At 34.2% G+C, this 21599-nt stretch overlaps 1 protein-coding gene across 4 annotated transcripts in view; it reads left to right on the top strand.

Moving 5' to 3' along the window:
* GRM5 (glutamate metabotropic receptor 5) overlaps nucleotides 1-21599 on the top strand; it is a 561341-nt gene that overhangs the window by 396544 nt on the left and 143198 nt on the right. For all 4 annotated transcript variants that reach the window (NM_001384268.1, NM_001143831.3, NM_000842.5 and 1 more), the window contains exon 4: nucleotides 16036-16271. In NM_001384268.1, coding sequence (NP_001371197.1) covers nucleotides 16036-16271 — 236 coding nt within the window. The remainder of the gene's footprint in view (nucleotides 1-16035; nucleotides 16272-21599) is intronic.

The raw sequence follows: 21599 nt of genomic DNA, 5'->3' as shown, positions 1-21599 counted from the left end.
AGTAGTGAGTGAAGACATCTTTTACTTATGCTGGATATCAGGAAGAAATATTTCAACATTTTACTGTTGTGTTATCTTCACTGTAAAGACTCTGGCATAGATTAAGGAAGTTATCTTTTTTAGCTAGGTTGCCAAGGTCATTTTATCAGAATGATGTTGAATTTGTCACGTTTTCTTTAATTTATTGACGGCATTATGTTGTTAATGTGGTAAATTAAGCTGACCAGCTTTCGAAAATTAAAATAATTATATATGTATATACCACATTTTCTTTATCCATTCATCCACTAGTGAACATTTAGGGTGTATCTACATCTTGATTGTTGTGAACAATGCTGCAATGAACATGAGGGTGTATATATCTCTTCAAAATAAATACCCAGAAATAGGATTATTGGATCATATGGCAATTCAATTTTTAATATTTTGAGGAAGCTACATACTGTTTTCCATAGTGGTTGCACCACTTTGCTATGGATAAACTGTGAGAACATTATGCTAAGTGAAATAACATAATGTCTGCCAATCACAGGAAAACAAATACTTCATGATTCAACTTAGATGACTAAAACAGTCAACTTGATAAAAGCATAAACTGAATTGTGGTTGCCAGGGGTTGGGGGGATGAAGGAAATGGGGAGCTGCTATTCAAGAAATACAAAGTTTCAGTTCTGCAAGACGAATAAGTTCTAATGATCTGCTGTGCAATATTGTGCTTATAGTTAACAATATTGTACTGTACAGTGAAAAATTTGTTAAGACAGACCTCTTGTTACCTGTTTTTACCACAATAATAACAATAATAATTTTTCATTCCTGGGGTATACCAAATTTGAATGAGTATTGGCATTTCTATACATTGCTGGACAGTTTCCTAATATGTTATTTGAGATTTTTCATTGATATTTATAAGAGTTTGGCCTACATTTTGTCTTTATTTTGAAATCACTTTAATATTTAGATATTACTGTTTTTCTGGACTTATAAAATGAAGTTTTCCTCTTTGCTTTTTTTTGAAAAAAAATTGTTGAGTATTGGTGTTATTTCTCGTCTAAAGGTATAGAATAATTTGTTAGTGAAGTTGGTGGGCCAGACTCTGTGTGTGTGTGTGTGTGTGTGTGTGTGTGTGTGTGTGTGTGTGCGAGTTTCTGGGGATGTTTTAAATAAACTTCCACTGATTTAAGAGATATAAAATTATTCTGTCTTTGTGTGTGTGTGTGTGTGTGCGAGTTTCTGCAGATGTTTTAAATAAACTTCCACTGATTTAAGAGATATAAAATTATTCTGTTTTATGTTTGTTTCTGTTTCATAATTTAATACTTATGTAGGGATTTTTCTATTTTATCTAAATTTTCAAATTTATTTCCATAACATATTTCACAATATTCTTTTTGGCTGCCCTTTTACAATTACTTTTTAGTGTATAACTTGTGCATTTCTCATTTCTTTCATTGTTGCCAAGTGTTCATAAATGTTCATCAGTTTTATTAGTCTTTTCAAAGAATCAATTTTGACTTTAACATTTTTTTTCTTTTTTTTTTCTTTTTTGATAGAGTCTCCCTCTGTCGCCCATGCTGGAGTGCAGTAGCTCAATCTCGGCTCACTGCAGCATCCGCCTACCAGGTTCAAGCGATTTTCCTGTCTTAGCCTCCCAAGTAGCTGGGACTACAGGCGCCTGCCACCACATACAGCTAATTTTGTGTTTTTTAAGTAGAGACGGTGTTTCACCATATTGGCCAGGGTGGTCTTGAACTCCTGACCTTGTGATCTGCCTGCATTGGCCTCCCAAAGTGCTGGGATTACAGGCGTGAGCCACTGCGCCTGGCCTAACTTTTTCTTTCTACTATACTTTTTTTAAGCAATTCTCCATAAATTTTTATTTTTCTATGACCTCTAGTTTTGGAGGGTTTAATGTGCTTCTTTTTCTCACTTCCTGCATTTTACTTTCAATAACTTTGCCTTTCATTTTTAGCAGCTTTACTATGATAAACCTGAGTGTGAATTACTTCATATTCATTTTGCTTGGATTCATCATACTTATTAATCTGTGTTTTGGTAGGTTTCATGCTGGTTGCACATTTGGTTTTGGAAATACTCCATCATTATCTCTTCAAATATGATTTCTACTCTATTCTCTTTTTTCTTCTCCCCCTGGAAAACTAATTATCTGACTTAGATGTTTTCATCATATTTTATACTTTTCTATATTCAAAAATTGTGTTTTTCCATGTTTCAGTCTGGATATATTCTATTCCTCTAAGTTTTCTAAACTTCATTTTTGGTTGTGTTTATTCTGCTGAAGGTGACACATCCATTGAGTTCTTAAATTTTTAAATGTTTAGTTTCTTAAATTTCTCTTTTTTAAAAAAATTACTGCTTTCAACTTACTTCTCTGACTTTTCATCTATTCTCTTGAATATATTATTCATATTTGTATTTAAATTCACTCTATTGATTCTAATGATTGGGATGGGGTTGATTTCATTGACTGTTTTTCCTGGTTTTCAATCATTTCATTCTTTTTCTTTAATGCTTTATATGTCTGTCCATTTACTACTGAAATGATAGACAACATGTATAAAAATTGTAGAGGTAATCTAAGGCTACATCTGGTTGTATGTTCATCCAGAGAGAATTTGCTGTTGCTTGTTTATAGCAGTTAAAAGAGAGGAAGACCATTTTAAGCTAGCTTGATAGTGAGAGGATCTGAAGCAGTTTCCATTTTTGTTGGAGCCTATCACTTTCCAGTTTGTCTTTACAACTAAAATATAGCCTGTAATGATCCCAAATAAAAACTCAAAGTGGTTACTATCTGCAATGGTTTGTTTGTTCTCAATAAAACTCAGGCTGGAATTTGATCCCCCCTGTGATGTTGTTAGGTGGGGCCTAGTGGGAGATGTTTGGGTTATGAGGGCAGATCCCTCATCAATGGCTTGTTGCTCCTCTCTCCTCCTGAGTGAGTTCTCACTCTTGAGAGACTCGATTGATTCTCATGGGAATGGATTAGTTCCTGGAAGAGTGAGTGATTATAAAGTCAGAACACCTCTCAAGTTTCCCCTCTTTGCATGTGTCCACTTCCTTTTCCACCTTGTTGTGATACAGCACAAAAGCCCTCACCAGAAGCTAGAGGCATGCCCTTGAACTTCTTAGCCTGCCGAATAAAAAATAGAATAAACCTGTTTTCTTTATAAATTACCCAGTTGTGGGCATTCTCTTATAAACAACAGGAAATAGACTAATGAACAATTACAATTCTTTTTTTCTTCAATTCAGTATGACTGCCTAAAGCTCTTCTCATCTGTCCAATCTCTTAGCCACTTCTGACATTTTCAGTAAATGCCTACAAATTAGCAAAGAATTCAAGGGAGGAAATAATATCTGCTTCAGATATCTGTGCTTCTTTTCCCTCCCAGATATTCACTGATAAGATTTTAAATGTAATACTAGCCCAGAACTCAAAAATGTTCAAAGCTCACCTGGTGCTTCTGTCCCAACTTCTTAGCTTCTTATCAATGAGTTCAACTTCAATGAATTGTCACATACTTCAAAGGGAAAGTCTTTCTTCAGTCCATTTTTTTTTTTCTCCTGGATCATGGCCCCCTCAGTACTGGCTGACTAGATAGCTTTCTGACAACTTAAACAAATTAAAAAAAAAATATTCAGCCTTTCTAGTTGTCTTCAGAGGAGGGCTTGCCTAATCTATCACAGGAAAATGTGGAAGTAGCTGTTCAGTTTCTATTATGTGACTTAAAATTTAAGTCTACTTGGATTAGTTATTGAGCATATGATACCTAAATTTTTCAGGAACTTAGGTTTTGAATTTTGTGTCACTTCTTGTACAATGATTATTTCTAAAACTTAATCTGAATCCCAGTGTAATTTTTGATTATTTACTCTTCCTCTATACCTATACGTTTTATTTGGAAACTATATTAAATAAATGTGAGAAGTTCACAATAGGTTTCTGAGTGTCGTGGGGATATTTTGTCCAGGAAAAACATGTTGCCTCAAAGTGAAATGTGAATGGAAATGAGCCCATTCTGTGTTTATGTACAGAAATCAAGGTCTCTTAAGCATCTTCTAATTGGTCTTTTCCATGTTATTAGAGAGACTCTTACTAACAATGACAGGGTACTGAACAATACAGAAATAGACATTTTATCAGAATATTAATTTAATGGTTTAAGGCAGTTCTCTATTTGACGATTCAGGTAGAAGGAAAAAAAAGAAAGAAATTCCAAGAGGGATGTGTGTGTGTGTGTGTGTGTGTGTGTGTAAATAAATTAAATTATCTCTTCTATCTACATTTTTATGTATATACCTTTGGACACAGATTTGTATTAAAGATCACATTTAATACATTGTTCTAGTTCAGTTTTAATGTCTAGATTTAGATAGAGTGGGTTTAAATATTGTGCAACCCTGGGCAATTTGCTTGCTTTGCAAGCTACAGTTGCCTCATGTGGAATGTGAACATGTAAAATTATGTACTTCAGTTTCATACATATAGTCTTTCCTTAGTATCTGTGGGGGATTGATTCTAAGACCCTCAGTGGATTCTAAAATTCGTGGTTGCTCAAGTCACTTTTATAATAGCTCAAATCATTATCATATAGTATATACATATTCTTATATACTTTAAATAATCCCTAAATTACTTATAATACCTAATACAATGAAAATGCTATGTGAGGCTGGGCACTGTGGCTCACACCTGTAATCCCAGCACTTTGGGAGGCCGAGGCAGGTGGATCACCTGAGGTCAGGAGTTCGAGACCAGCCTGGCCAACATGGTGAAACCCCGTCACAACTAAAAATACAAAAATTAGCCGGGCATGGTGGTGCACACCCGTAGTCCCTGCTACTGAGGAGGCTGAGGCAGGAGAATTGCTTGAACCCAGGAGGCGGAAGTTGCAGTGAGCCAAGATCATGCCATTGCATTCCAGCCTGGGCAGCAAGATTTTTAAGATTCTATCTTTAAAAAAAAGAAAAAAGAAAAGAAAATGCTATGTGAATAGTTGCCATACTCTATTGTTTAGGGAATAATGACAAGGGAAAAAAAGTCTGTACATGTTCAGTACAGACACAACCATCCATTTTTTTTCCAGTTTTTTTTAAATCTGGGTTGATTGATTCCACACATGTAGAACCCAGGGATATGGAGGGCCAACTGTATATATAATATTTAGCAGAATATAGGCATAAGCATATATTGCTTAGGACAATGTTTGGTAGGAAAAAAACACTACATACATTATCATAGTTATCATTCAAGTAATTTTTTTCATTTACCTGACTCTAAGGTTGAAGGGAATGATAATTTTTCTTCTCTTTATTCCTCATATGCAGCACTCTGCAGAGAACTTAGCAAGTACAATGTTACTTGTTAGATTTTACTAAATGAATCAGTAATGTTAAATAATGCAGGAAGTTTGAGGAAAGTATGAGGAAAATATAGATTTGAAATTATGAAGTCCCTAGTGACCTGTTATGATATAAAAAGAAATAAAACAAACTGGGAGGTGAGGTTTATATTCATTGATATCCTCTTGAAGCCTGTCTTATTGCTTAGGTGTTCAATAAAAAAATTACTGATTTAATATTGCACTTAGCACCGTGCAATCACCTTGATTGTGCTCTCAGAGGCTGTTTGGCCTTCATAAAAGAGGCAATTAAGAAGAGGAGAAATATTTTTGAAAAGGTGTTATCCCAGCACAGTCATGTAACAGGAAACTCTAAGCACTAGTCCCACTGATAAAAATTTACAAGCTTAACAGAAGGAATTAGTCCAATTCAGTGGAAGAAGGGATTATAGCATGAAAACTGGAAGATCATCCTAAGAAAGGAAACTTCATGAAAAAACAGACAAGGTTATATAAAGCTATGGATACAATAGCTCATTCAAAGTGTTTTCTCTGTTGAAATGGATCATTTTGCTTACTAAATTGTTGCACATTTTATACAATAGCCTCAATTTTTGCATTTCTCCAAATGGCTATAATATGATGAGAGAAACAAAAGATTGGGTAACACACAATGTAATCAATCTATTTATAAAGATATTTATCAGCCTCTCCTATTTAAAGCATGCATATGACGTGGAAGCATCCCTGGAGCCACAAGACATTAAACCAGAGGAGATAATGCCTGCCATCCTAGGACCAAAATCAAGACAGGATGGATATTCCAACTATTCTAATAGGTTTTTCTTACTATCTGTTATTTCCTGTAATCCCCACGTCTTTGTAAGTCAGTCTATACTGACCACACCCAGAATTAGGTCAGACCGCCTAAGATTTTATCTCTTCAAATATTAACAGGCATTGGCCTTCCAAGTGAAGAAATGCAGAATAGAGTTGGGAAGTGAGTATTAACTTCATATTGCTGTGTAACAAATTATAACAAAATTAGAAGCTTAAAGAAAAATGCGTGTATTATTTCATACTTTCTGGATGTCAGGAGTCTGGGTATGGCAACTGGGTTCTCTGCTCAGGGTCAGACAGGCTGTAGTCAGGGTATTGGCGAACTGCATTTCTTTTTGGAGGCTTTCTGGAAGAATCTGCTTCCAAATATATTCAAGTTTTTGGCTGAATTTGGTGGTCTGTGGGTGTAGGCTTGAGTCTCCATTCTGGTGCTGGTTGTTTGCTGGAGGCCATACTCATTTCTGAGAGACCACCTGCATTCCTTTCCCTGTAGCTCCCTCCATCAGGAAAGCCAACAACGGAGATTCTCCTCTAGCTCTCTCATGTCAAGTCCCCCTCATTTGAATCTTTTTTTTAAATCAGAAATCACCAGTCCCTTTTAGGACTCACCTAGTTAGATCAGATTTATAGAGGGTAGTATCCCTATTTTAAAGTCAGCTTGTTTGGAACCTAAAATACATCTTTAAAATCCTTCCAGAGAAGCACTTATCTAGATGAGTGTTTGATTGAATAACTAAGAGAGGTGTGTATACCCCAAAGATCAGAGATCTTGGATGCCATTTTAGAATCTTACCTACACATTTTCAATATACAATCTGATCCCTGTTTTCCAATACATGTCTCTTAAATAAAATTCATCAAGACACAGTTCTCTGCTGTCATTACTGTATGTCATTACTTAGCAGGTTTATGAAGTATGAAATGTGCTGGAGTTTTAGAATTAGCAAGATCTGAGTTTATATCCCCTCTACATTTGTCATGGGGTTTTGAGTAGGTTATTTAATCCCTCAGATTTCCTCAGTTATAAGGCTAGTTAATCCTCCAGTTTCCTCAGATGTAAAAACTAGGGCTAATAATTATCTCTAAGGCCTGCAGAACTTTAGAAAAAGTCATACAGTGGAAATTATCTTATGATATACAGGTGGCAAATTTCAAGTTCCTGACTTTTTCCCTTCTTTTGAATGTTCTGATATCACTCCTCCAATCTACCTCTACTTACTTTTTATGAATCCTTTGAAATGAGAAATATTGAGATTTATACACCTCAGAAATAAGTTGATTTTCAGTTGATAACATTATCTTTTTCTGAACAATTCTAAATTTTGATTCTTTTTGGAATTAATTCATTAGTGTTGGCTGGGGTATATTCATAAGAACCTTAATTTAAAATTTCAAAGCCAGGCACAGTTGCAAAGGCCTGTAGTCCTAGCTACTCCAGAGGCTGAGCCCAGGAGTTTGAATCCATCCTGGGCAACATACTGAGACTGTATCTAAAAAATAAATAAAATAAAATAAAATAGAGTCTCAATATTTTTCCTTGCTTTTCACTAGTGTGTAGAGATTTGAGACTTCCTACTCCTCCTGGGGTGCACGGAGCAATATTATGTGAAAACAGCCAAGTAGTCCGTAGACTCCCACTATTAGAATTTTTTAAAATCCCAAAATATCTGTTAAAATCTATTAGTAAGAGATTTGGCAGGATGATGATTACATGTGGGTAGAACAGCAGTTTCCATAATAATTATGTGGGTTGCAAACAGATTTTGAAAAAAAAAATACTGAGATGCAGCCTAATGAATACATTCATTAACCTTAATAACATCAGGTAGATAACAAGAGGACCATTCTGCACGGGGGAATCAACTCAGCCTTTCAGAGTCATTTATAAGGCACATTTGACAGTGTTATTTTCTCAATTAACAAATGAGTAGATGTAGTTATCTGAAAAGAAATCTGTGTTATTTGAAGTTTTCCTTTTAAAACCTAATTTTTAAACAAGTTACATTAAACATTTCTTGAGTATTTGGTATGTACTGAGCATTATAACAAGCATTAAGGATACAAAGATGTGCAAAGTATAAAATTTGTAGTCTACTTTGGGGAAGCAAAAATAAATGTAGCTATCTTTAATACAATGACAATTGCAAAACTAAAAGCATCATGTTACCTCTATGAGAGCAGAAATCTTGCCTTCCTTGTTCACCACTATATCCACATATTTAGAATATTAGTTACACAATACTTGTTCAGTGAATAAAGCAATGAATGTCACTGTATTTTAGAAGCAGAGCAGAAGGAACCATTAAGCCCAGAGGAGCTTTTTGATAAGTTGCATTCAAGCTAAATCTGTCTGCTTGATGAATTACATTTTATCAAATCAGAAAACATGTGAGAAGTTAAAAGAATGGCACTCTGTGCAGAGGGAATAGCACACCCAAAGGCTTAGGAGTGTGAAACTATTAACATATCTAAGGAATAAGAATCAATGTTCTATGTCTCCGATCAACAGGATGTGTGAGGTTCGTCTCAGCAGTACCAGTTTCATCATGATAAGCATAACTAATGATTTCAGTGGGCAAGAATAACTGTGTGGCCCTAGCATGCCCCACACATAGTTATATTTCCTGACACAAGTTTAATGACCACTAACTTCTAGGAATATTCATTCAGATTCCAACATTTTTAGATTGGTATTGCTCCTTTGGGTACAGAATGTACTTATGTTGTTTGCCTATGGCAGGTAGCACCATGGGATGCCTTCCTAAAATCTCCATGGAGTTGTAGTATTAATAAATAACCATGTTGCCATTTGAGAGTTCAACTAGTGAAAATCCATGCCCATTGTATATAATTAGTCTTCCATATAAATAAATCAAGAGATTATAAATGTAAGAATTAAGAACTTGGAAATATCCAGAATACTAATTGAGGTGATCAGAGAATAATCTTAGGGAGGCAAGAAAGGAATGTGATTTTCAGTAAATGATAATTCAGTGACTGGAAATCTAATGATTTCTACTGTTTATGGAAAGATTGAGTAAAAAGGAAAGGGAATGTTTAATTTGAAGGATAAGTGAGAAAAACCCAATGGACTGGAAGCTGGCAATGCCCATTCAGGCAGGTCATGCCTAATGGACTGTTGACTCCTTGAGGGCATGGCCTGGAACCTACCAGTGTCTGGCACAGAGGAGGCATTCAAATGTTTAGTGAATTAATAAATTGAAATGAATAAAACATTGAGACTGTTACTAAAGGATCACTCAATGCAATTTTCAGGGCTACATGTATTTTTCTGTTTTCCATAGCAATAACTTATAACATATATGGATAGGAAATGAAGAAAGAAAAAATTATATTGTCTGCATTTTATGGATTTAGATTTCATTAAGGGAGATAGATTTTTAAATTATTTGGCATCGCTGCCCTAACATTCCATAATCCTTAGACTTTTATCTTCGTAATTGTCTAAGATTTATTTTTATATATTCCTGTTAGCATATAGCACTCAGGAGGTTTCACATTCTAGCAAAAATAGATTGTGATATTCTGCCTATTGGTTGTTAAGTCCTATCATAATTATTTTATAACTATAACTATTGGTCTGCTTTATATTTCATAAATTTAATATAATGAATGATAGAAATAATTATAAAGTTAAAATACTTTTAGTATAAGCATACAATGGTGTAAGGTATAAATCTTTACAGATGTATAATTACCATTTTTCTCTCATATTTTTGAATGCCAACAGCTATTGCACAGCAAACAAAAACATACATACAATAATACAACAGAGTAGGTTAATATCATACTGGAACCACAGGTACGAACATTGTTAACTTGCATTTTTAACATTCAAGCCAGTTGCATATGGAGAGAATATGTAGAAATCCAGGAGAAAAAGAAATGTGAGAGATCGTATAAAGATAAATCTGAACATCACAGATCCCAACTCATATTCATTTTCTTCCTTTTTCACAAAAAACCTGTTCTTTTCCAATACTGTCCAGCCTAGGACATGGAGCTACATGCAATGTTGTTATTCTCCTCCCACGAATCATTAAAAATGCTCCTTTACCTTCTATGCCCCACAAGTTTGGAGGTTCTACATTAAGATTCCTTATAAATATGGCTCTTCATTCTTACTGCCACTCCCTTAATTCAATTCTCCATTGGTTTCCTTGACCATTGCAACATATTTTCTAACTTGATTCCCTAACCTTCATCTCCGACAGCTCTAATCTGTCATGTAAGCTTTTAGCAGAGTTCCTCTACTTCTCATCATGTCTTTGTATCATTTCCCACTTTAAAAGCCATCACTGGTTCCCCACTACCTGTATGACAAAGTTGGAAATCTTTAGGATGGCACAAAAGAACACTCACAACTGATTCTCTTCAGCTCACCCTCTCATTACTTCTCTGACCTGTGCACCCTACATAGCTGCAATGCTCCATATTCACTATTCCTTGATTAACAATTTTTTTCAATATATAGAAAACAATATTTCAAAATGCTGGTATCACTCTATTATCCATACTTTTCAAACTTAGTTCAACTCTTATCTCCCTAAGAAGTGTTGGTCAATTATTTATTGATCTGCTCTCCCACTGCATTTAGGACATGCCCATAATAATCATTTGTATGTGGTTACTTATTTATATCTGTCCTCCTTTCTCATCCCTCCACTAGACTTGTGAACTGCTGGAGCAGAGTCTCTAAACCCTATTTAACTCATGTTTTTTCTCAGTTTCAATACAATTTCAACACACAGTGATGCTGTCAATTGCATTTTCTTCAAAATATACACTGCTCCTCTCCGTGGGAAAAACCATGGATGCCTGTCCCATTCAGGTCAGGTTTAGCCATGTGATTTGTTCAGTCAGTGAAACGTGAGCAGAAATAACATGTGCCACTTTTAAGCAGAATCTTAAGAACCATTGTATGATTCCCCTATCATCTGTTTTTCCTTCTACAACAGCGGTCCCCAACGTTTTTGGCACCAGGGACTGGTTTCATGGATGAAACTGTTCCATCTCATAAGAAGCGCACGACCTAGCTCCCTCACGTGTACAGTTCACGATAGGATTCACCATCCTATGAGAATCTAATGCCTCTGCATTAGATCTAACAGGTGACAGAGCTCAGGAGGTAATGCTCACTCACCCAGGGCTCACCTCCTGCTGTGCAGCCAGGTTCCGAACAGGACACGGACAGGTACTGGTCTGAAACCTGGGGTTTGGGGACTCCTGCTCTACAAGATTGGTATGTCCCAGAAACAGACTATTCTTTTAGACTTCAAACTCAAAATGAAGATGACATAGAACAGAGTTATAGGCCATCTGCAGTGAATATAAAGGCTGAAATAAACTTCTGTTCTATACCAGTGAGATACTGGGACTATTGATTGTGACAAAATAATTTAGTCTAAGATGGGTAGATATTTAATAAATGTTGAAGAAAAGAAGGAAGGTTATAGAGACCTAGGAAAAAAAATAGCAGGGTAATTCAAGAGTCAATTTTGTTTTAAACAAGAACTGTCTGTTGAAAAGAAAGAAAAATTAAGCTTTCATGAGTTTCTCTTTATGAGAAATCATAGGAATTAGAGTTGAAAGGAGAAAGGGGAAGAGTAGATTGTAGAGAAAGAGAGTATATTTTTGGTAATGCAATCTTGGGAAGAAAGTGAAAGTAAATTCTCTGTAGATTAGCATGTCCTTAAGATGTCTGCAGGGAATATTTAAAGGATCTAAGTATCTGCTAGTGAGGTGTTTTGAGAATCCAGTACATATGTATAAAGAATCCTCCTTTAGTTAAGCCAAGCTAAGTAAGTTAAGAATGATTTTTCTATTTTAAATGTCCAAGTTACTCTGATTCCACAGCCAAAGAAAGGCTACAAACCTGACTAAAACAACATCCAGATTAAGACTATATGTAATTACAGCCAATTCTTATCATTCACAGTAATGTTCTATAAACATGCAGCAAACAGTAAATTAGTGAATAATGACCATTACTCCTGGAGGAAATACAAGCTTAGGTTGCTGTGAGCCTTTAGTCACAACGTGTTCATCAACTAGTCAAAACATAACCTTGTTTTATGTGTGTTCTTGTTTAAAGACATCTTAGTTAATATAAATTGTTGACTCACTAACATTGAACTTGCAGCAACAGCACTTTATTCATGCAACTTATTTAACATATGTATTGTCTATATACAGTTATCCCTAGTCCCTTGATATTTGCAGAGCATTGGCTCCAGGACACTTCCTCCTCTCATCCCACCAATACCAAAATCTAAAGATGCTCAGGTCTCTTATACCAGGTAGCTTAGTTTTCACATGTAACCTGTACACATCCTCCATTATACTTTAAACCATCTCTAGATTATTATCCCTAATATAACATACATGTTATATAAATAGTCATTATACTGTCTTGTTTTTTATTTGTATTATTATTTTTCCAAATATTTTCAATTAATTATTGATGAAATCTGTGAATATGGAACCCACAGTTATGAAGGGCTGACTGTATTTTCTATGTATATTACAGCCATCTTGTGCTTAGAAACACTAGATAACACATCAGCTTTATTCTTGGAGGCCAAGTTAAACACTGAAATCACCAATAAAAAACACGAACATGCAAAAGATGGCGCTAAATAGATACTGTAAGTTTGTAGTATGAAAACTGAAACAAGAAAGCAGAGTCACCTTTTTCAACCTCAGATGGGGACATGAACTTCAGTAGTCTCAAATGTGTACCACTCTCTGCATGCCCATGAATGACTGCAAAAATGCCACCAATATTGATTCTGGTATTGCAAATAAACTTCAGCAAGTAGCTAAATTTGTAAATGCAGAATCTGTAAATAATGATGATCAACTGTAAATCCAAACAACGGAAAAGAATAAAATGGATTATGAGGAGTTGGGCAAAATGCCCACCAGTGAGAAGAGGGAGAAATTGGATGGATGGATAAATAATAAATCTAGTAAAGTGCCTTAAATGTGGTAGACTTTTAGCAAATGTTAGTTTCCTTCCCCATCTTTATCCGTTTGTTTTCTCTTGCTTTGGTAAAATACGTGTCACCCAAAAAATTAAATTGAAGGTCCACTCTATCAAAGTAATAGAAAGCATTAGGTGGCAGAAAGGTTTTTTCTTAGCATTTCATTTTACTGCTGAATTTATTGCATCATACTTAAAGATGCCCTATCATCTTAATGCAAATCTTAAAAGCATATTTATATAAAAATGTTAATGTTTAATAAGCTAAAGTCAATACAGCACCCTCTAATTTAGCCAGTGTTGTCTTTTTTGGGATTAACATAGCAGATATTATCCAAAAATTTAAATAGAATGACCCTGTTTTGTCACATAGATATTGGGATTTTCTGTTTACACACTATCTCCTTTATGATTTATATTGTGCTGTTAATTGGAAACATCTGAAACAAAAATTATTTTAAACTCACAACTCTAACTTATAAGGCTAATAATAAAACATCATAGTTTTCTAAGTTATTAAACTTACAGAAAAGATATATACCTCAAAAAAAAAAAAAACAGAGAAAGTACATGATGAGAGATCAGTAAATTATCACTCTCATCCTGACAGTTTTCTTTTATGGAAATATCACCTGCAAAAAAGTTTATCAAGACAAACTTTTTACAATCCCTGTTAAATTCAATGAATGAACTGTGAAGGGTAAATTGGAGCCATTATAATCTTACATTTCTTATGTAATATTCATAATCATAGTGTTACATAAGAGCGAGCTAATGTTAACAAAAGGAGCAATTTAAATTCCCACTTCCTTGGAGAATGGGTCTCTGCTTGAACAAACAGAGCTTCCTGTCCCATTTGCAACACGCCCATGCTGCTCCTCGAGTGCCAATGAGACCCACACTCTCATCTCAGTGATATAATAAACCCTCCAAAACAGAGGAGAAAATGAGGCAAACAAGCCCACTTCATTTCAACTTGTCAGCTTTAAATAAAATCTTCTGGAGCTGAAAATGGGAAACTTGAGGGAAGATAATGTGTGAAGTAACCAAATTCAACATTGGGACAAAACATACTACATTACTATATTTTTGTCTTGATCTGCCACAAAAGTTTTTGAAATTTCACTATAGGTAATTTTTAATATCTTTTTGTCATGGAGGACTTAGAGAAAAACAGTGTTCTTTCTGTTTATTTTTTCCCTTCTCTCCACCCACTGATGCCCTAGCTAATATCTCAAGTCATCTCAAGCCCTTATGATATCTTAATAAGTAATATATGACATTTGGAATAACTCCCAATTATCAATATTTATATCAAAGTTGGCACAGCACTGCATACTGAAAAAAGTGCATGCTTTCTGTATAATTTAAATTAATTACTTACATAATACTTTCTCGGCACTGATTTTTTATGCAAAATATTGGACCATGCTTTCTGCATAGAAAAAAAAATGTTAAGGGCAAAAATGCATTGAAAGGAAAGTAAAAATAAATTAACATTCTGTTAAATGGAAATATTTGAATATCACCGAGGTAAGCAGTGATTGGTAGTGTAAATCTCTTCCCACGTCCTCTCCCCACTACCCACTGCCCCTACTCCCAGCTCACCTCCTAACACTTTTTCCTGCTTTGCATTTAGGAGGCTCTAGTCTGTTCTTCCCCTTAAATCTCTCTATATTCCTTCTCTTCTCTCTTTGAGGTTACTTGTAATTTAGTCAAATTTTCCCTTTCCCCATACTTCCTTTACAAGCACTTGCACTTCTTCCAGGGAAAGACAGTACCACTGGGTTCCAGCAGATATACAGCACAAACTGTGTATATACCAATGGCAGTGAAGAGGGACAAGTCACTTTCCTTCTTCCTTAGATGCCCTAGGGTGTACCCAAATTGTATACAAACATCTTTTCATGCCTTTTATTTTTATTTCCAATACAATGTTTCATGTATTTTCCAAATCATTGTAGAAGACTTTACTTTTTCTTATTCTGTTATACTCTCCTCTAGCATTATATTATGAGCCCTCTGATTTCAAAAACTTTTATCTTAAAATTCCTAAATAACTTTGAGTGAGCAGTGCATAGAATGATAGTTATGTTGAGGAGTATGATCCCTTCACCACTTTTGATGGCACATTGTTCAGAAGTTCTTTTGGGCACTCTAATATAAAATGTGATTTCAGATGTACATTTTTAATGTATTTTAGAGATTCCATGGGATAGAAAATAGTGTATGGACTATGGACTACAAAGATTTCAGTTCGAGGCTTGGGAAATCAACATTGAATAGAGTAACCATAATCGGCAAACGGTTTTTTAAACCTATTATTCATTTGTAAAATTTGATCAAAAATGTTGTGTCACAGGATGATTAAATTAATATTAGGTATGTTGGAGAATATTTTTAATTCTTATTTTATGATCATTATAATTATTATTATAAAGCCAAAGAAAATAATGTATTTAAAGTTAACTTTACCTGGCTATTAAATGTCCATTAAAAATGTGAATGATGATATTATGCAGCTTCCATGTATATACTATATTTTGCAGCCAGTAAAATTGTGCCAGAATCTCCAGGTTATTTTCTGCAGTTTAAGGTAAGTGAGGTTAGTGCCTTTTAGCACTCTTAGGCCCAAAATTTCCATGGTGTTATTGCACTTTTTATTCTAACAAGCTTCTATATCAATAATCATGTCGGTGTAATATAGGACCATCATGGGGCCTGAGGTAGCCATTTAATGACTAATCTTGTCAAAAGGAAAGCAAATGGACTCATTTGCTTAGGAGATATCTGTTCTAAGCTGAGGGTTTTTTTATTTCCCCACAGTGATGGCTGGGCTGACAGGTATGATGTGACAGATGGATATCAGCGAGAAGCTGTTGGTGGCATCACAATCAAGCTCCAATCTCCCGATGTCAAGTGGTTTGATGATTATTATCTGAAGCTCCGGCCAGAAACAAACCACCGAAACCCTTGGTTTCAAGAATTTTGGCAGCATCGTTTTCAGTGCCGACTGGAAGGGTTTCCACAGGAGAACAGCAAATACAACAAGACTTGCAATAGTAAGCAGATTTATTATTTCATTTAAAATGCATAAGGCTAAGGTTCCAATTTAAGTAAACCATGTCATGGGGATAGTGGCTGTAATATGTTACAAGGGAGGACTCTTACATAAGTAGAGTGGATATTGCCACTTATGGTGATAAACAGGTTTTAGTCTCATTAGGAAAAACATATCAGAGCAAGTATTTAGTGATATTTTATGTGATTAGATCATTTCTATTTGTATCATTCAAAAAATTGAATGTATTTCCATAAGGCATTGTGCTAAAAACATCACATGAGCTCCAGAATGGAACTATTTCTGACATCCTTGAATGCAGTGACTGCATTCTGCTCATTTCTATTATCCAGAGTAGTTAGCACAGTGGAAGCACATAGTAACGGTTTCATATATGTACAAAGAATGAATACATGAGTGTTGAAGGACAGATCGAGTTGCTACTTCCATCAATAAACCATAAAATAGTACCAGGGATTTGCTATATAAAATTGTGATGTTTCAGGAAACGTAACCTATGTAGAGCCATTCATTCAAGCATTCAACAAATACTTATAAGATGCTAAGAATGTACCAAATTTTGCTTTAGTTGTAAGGATACCAAGATGGAGAAAGCTAGTTCCTGCCCTCAAAGGTTTACTATCTTGGAAGGGAGATAGTAATGCCAACAAAAATTGCAATTGAAAATTATAAGTGATATGATAACTAAGTGTTTAAAATAAGAGCTTGGGTTAATATTATTTGTAACATGTCCAAAAAGAATCTTGATTCTAATAACCAGGTAGAGCCAGCATATACTTTATCTATCTATATCATCTGTCTATCAAATATCTGTGCCTGCAAAGGTTAAAGTTTGTAAAAATTGACAAAGGATTTTTTTTTGGAACTGACTTATCCTACATTGTGTTATAAGAAACCCATATGCATTTGCATTGCAGGAAAATGCAAATTGAACATGAAACATTGTTCAAATTTTTGAATGATATAAATAGTAATAAATTATCTAAAATCTTACTAGAGTAAATACTTGCTCTGATAAGTTTTTGTTAGTTGGTGGTATAGATGCCTTTACCCATGGTGCTGGAACACCAGAATTCAGTGGGGCAGTGGGCTTGAAATCCTGGTCCATTACCCAATTCTAGTCCACAAAGAGGTTGTCACATACCAGCAATAAAATGATAAAAACAGAAACAATTTAGTGAGCTATTCATAAAGATTTCCCCCTCTGAGGTCATGTTCATCCTGTGTTTCTGGTATCAGTTTGTTCTTTTGGGAAATGATGGAGATAGTCAATGGTGGTTTGTGATTGTTTTTAAATGTAATTGCTTCATAAAACAAGAACCCAGCAATCTCATATCAGTTCCTATTTGGGTAGAAGGGGAAGGGAGGAATGCTGGAGTGTGGGATAATACACCCATCAATGAAATCCAGAAATCATTGCAACATAGTGTGAGAGTATGTTTGCTTCTCTCCCACTTCAGATCCTTGTAACTCTGACCAAATCCTCAAATGCTTACGCATTTCCTTTGCTTTCATTTTTTATGGCAAAATACGTGAGAAACAATAGCACTGTCACTTATGGCTCACAATTTCAAATTTGTAGCTAATGTCATATTTTAACAGTTCTATCTAGTTTCTGAAGACAACAGATTTCTTTTCTCTCTTGAGATTTGGGGATCATATGTCCTTCTGTGGTCTATTCTATGTTTGTATAATTATTACTATGTGTAGCTTCATTGAAGGAGTTCTGAAAGGTAAGCAGTAGCTCTGATTTCATCTTTAGTTCCTCTTTATGAGGAATTAGTGACAACACTAACCGGTATATTTAAGGGAATTTTTCCAGTTGGCCTGCACCCTCTTTCTTTATTAATTTCTTCTTTTCCCACTGTTTTTTGGTCTGAAATGCCTCCTCTTGAAAATAGTTATTTGTTTCTCTGACTCTTTATTTCCTGGAAGTCCTGCTTAAATACAGCCTTGAAAACTTTACTTGATTTCCATGAAAATATTATTTCTATGGAAACCGTTCTGTAAAATCCTCCCTTGACCTTGCTGCTGTAGCTCTCTATCTCTCATGTGAGCACCTTGGTGTGATCTCTGCTCAGAATCTGTTCTTTACTGCAGTCATGGAAAGCACCACTTAGTCCATCCCCCCCCTTGGAATCTCGTCTGACAACAGATGTCATTTGGTACATTGGCATGGACACTTTATATGTACTGCCTCTGTTATTCTTCTTAATGAGAGATGTATAATATTATCCTCATTTTAAATATAACAAAAGCATGATTTAGAGAGACAAAATAAGTTCCTCCAGTCATATAACTATTAAACATTGGAACTTAAAATTGAACTCAGATTTGTCTAGAGTTTAGCCAACATGCTAAATAAATTAAATATAACAGATTAAAAATCACCATCAAATCTGCATTATATAATAGTCAATATATAGTTCAAAGATACAAGGAAAATAATTATTAGATTTATGTCTTACTATGAAGTGCAATAAAAGGTACTCAAATATTCACTACCCACTACTTTTGACCCTAGTTTCTTATGTAATCCAATATCAATTGAACATTTCTTCCCTATCATGTATGAGAGTTTAAGTTTTTCCACACCCTTGTTAATACCTGGTTTTTTCTTCTGTATTTGACAATCTGTGAGTGTGTAGTTCTATCATACGGTGATTTCAATTGGCTTTTTCATGATGTATTTCAAAGTTAAGCTCCTTTTCATGTTTTTGGAAAGCTGGTATCCTCTTTTGTGTCTGTTCAAGACTTTTGAACATTTCTTTGAGTTTATTATCTTTTTAATATCTATTGGAAAAATTCCTCATATAGTATGGACATGAGTCCTTTGTCAGCTATATAAATTGTAAAATTGACAAAACAGAAGTTTGGCTTTTTTATTACCTTACTGTATCTCTCATTTACTACTTGTTTTCTTTTTGTCCAATTTGTTATTTAGCTATTTATTCCTCTGTCTTTTCTGCTGTTTTGTATTAATCAATAATTTTTATTATTCCTTTTCTCTTAACATTTTTGTTTCATCTCTTTGTATAATTTATTTGGAGTTTTCAACAGAAATTACCAACTGAGTCCTTAGTTTAATATAGAATATTTTAAGTTGGTTCTTATCACATTCAAGAAGCTTGCAAATATTTAAATCTATATACCCCTTCAGAATTTTTTTTGCAATTGCCATATAGTTTACTTTTATATGTACTCTGTATACCACAGGACTGTGTTATGATTATCATAGGTGATCAATAGTTTTATATTTATTGAGGCTATTGTTCTTCATTCCTTCTTGTACTTCCATGCTCCCATCTATAATTCTTTCAGCCCGAGGAAATTTCTTTAGTATTTCTTGTATACGCAGATATACTGCCAGGAAGTTGTATTAGTGTATATTTTTCTTAGAACATTTTCATTTCACCTTTTATTTTTAAAAGATATTTTCACTGAGTATAGCATTTGATATTGGCAGGTTTTCTTTTGTTTGCTTGCTTCATTCTTATTTTTTTCTTAAAAAATGTCATTTCATTTTCTTCCAGATTTTGTGATTTCATTGAGAAGTTAGCCATCATTCTTAATGTGTTTCCCCGGTGTCAATATAGCAAATAAAATTAGCAAATAAAATTTCAAGAATTTTAAAATTACATATATATAATATATATGTAATATATAAATTATATATAGTATATATGTAATATATAATATATAATACATAATAAATGTCATATATAATATATAATGCATAATATATGCAATATATAATATATAATACATAATATATGTAATATTTAATATATTATGTATATGTAATATGTAATATATGTATTACATATATATGTAATATGTAATGTATAATATATATGTATTACATATATATAATATATAATATATATGTAATACATATGTGTGTGATATATATACTATATATACATATATGTGTATATGTGTATAGATATTATATATAACATATATAATATATACATACACATGTATGTATATATGTAATAAACATATATTACACATATAAAAATATTACATATATATTTAATATATATTATATATTTTAATATATGTATTATATATTATAATATATATATTATATATTATGTATATTAAGTTTTAATGACCATAATGAACTTTGGTGTTATTTCCTTTGTATATTACTTTCTTAGGGTTTCCAGAGCTCCTTAAGCCTGTAGAATAAAGAATTGCATCAGTTTAAAAATTTCCTCTTAAACATTCCTTCTGCTGCATTTCTCTCTCCACTCCTACTATCCAATTACACCGCTGTTAAGCCATTTTACCATGTCACACATATGACTTATTCTCTGTGTAGTCTTTTCTTTTTTCTATGATTCAGAAAGAAAATTTGGCCTATATCTTCAGGAAAAGGCCAACTAAAGTGTGAGGAGTCTACATTCCTCAAGTGAGCTTTTCTTACAAATATTACAAAACAATGAGAGATTTGAATCTCTCTCTTGAAAATCTTTTTTTTTTTTTATTATACTTTAAGTTTTAGGGTACATGTGCACATTGTGCAGGTTAGTTACATATGTATACATGTGCCATGCTGGTGCACTGCACCCACTAACTCGTCATCTAGCATTAGGTATATCTCCCAGTGCTATCCCTCCCCCCTCCCCCCACCCCACCACAGTCCCCAGAGTGTGATATTCCCCTTCCTGTGTCCATGTGATCTCATTGTTCAATTCCCACCTATGAGTGAGAATATGCGGTGTTTGGTTTTTTGTTCTTGCGATAGTTTACTGAGAATGATGATTTCCAATTTCATCCATGTCCCTACAAAGGACATGAACTCATCATTTTTTATGGCTGCAGAGTATTCCATGGTGTATATGTGCCACATTTTCTTAATCCAGTCTATCATTGTTGGACATTTGGATTGGTTCCAAGTCTTTGCTATTGTGAATAATGCCGCAATAAACATACGTGTGCATGTGTCTTTATAGCAGCAAGATTTATAGTCCTTTGGGTATATACCCAGTAATGGGATGGTGGGTCAAATTGTATTTCTAGTTCTAGATCCCTGAGGAATCGCCACACTGACTTCCACAATGGTTGAACTAGTTTACAGTCCCACCAACAGTGTAAAAGTGTTCCTGTTTCTCCACATCCTCTCCAGCACCTGTTGTTTCCTGACTTTTTAATGATTGCCATTCTAACTGGTGTGAGATGGCATCTCATTGTGGTTTTGATTTGCATTTCTCTGATGGCCAGTGATGATGAGCATTTTTTCATGTGTTTTTTGGCTGCATAAATGTCTTCTTTTGAGAAGTGTCTGTTGATGTCCTTC

The sequence above is a fragment of the Homo sapiens genome, chromosome 11, assembly GCF_000001405.40.
Source record: "Homo sapiens chromosome 11, GRCh38.p14 Primary Assembly".
Classification (NCBI taxonomy): domain Eukaryota; kingdom Metazoa; phylum Chordata; class Mammalia; order Primates; family Hominidae; genus Homo; species Homo sapiens.
Note: the sequence above shows the minus strand (reverse complement) of the source record. Positions and strands in the feature narration are given on the sequence as shown.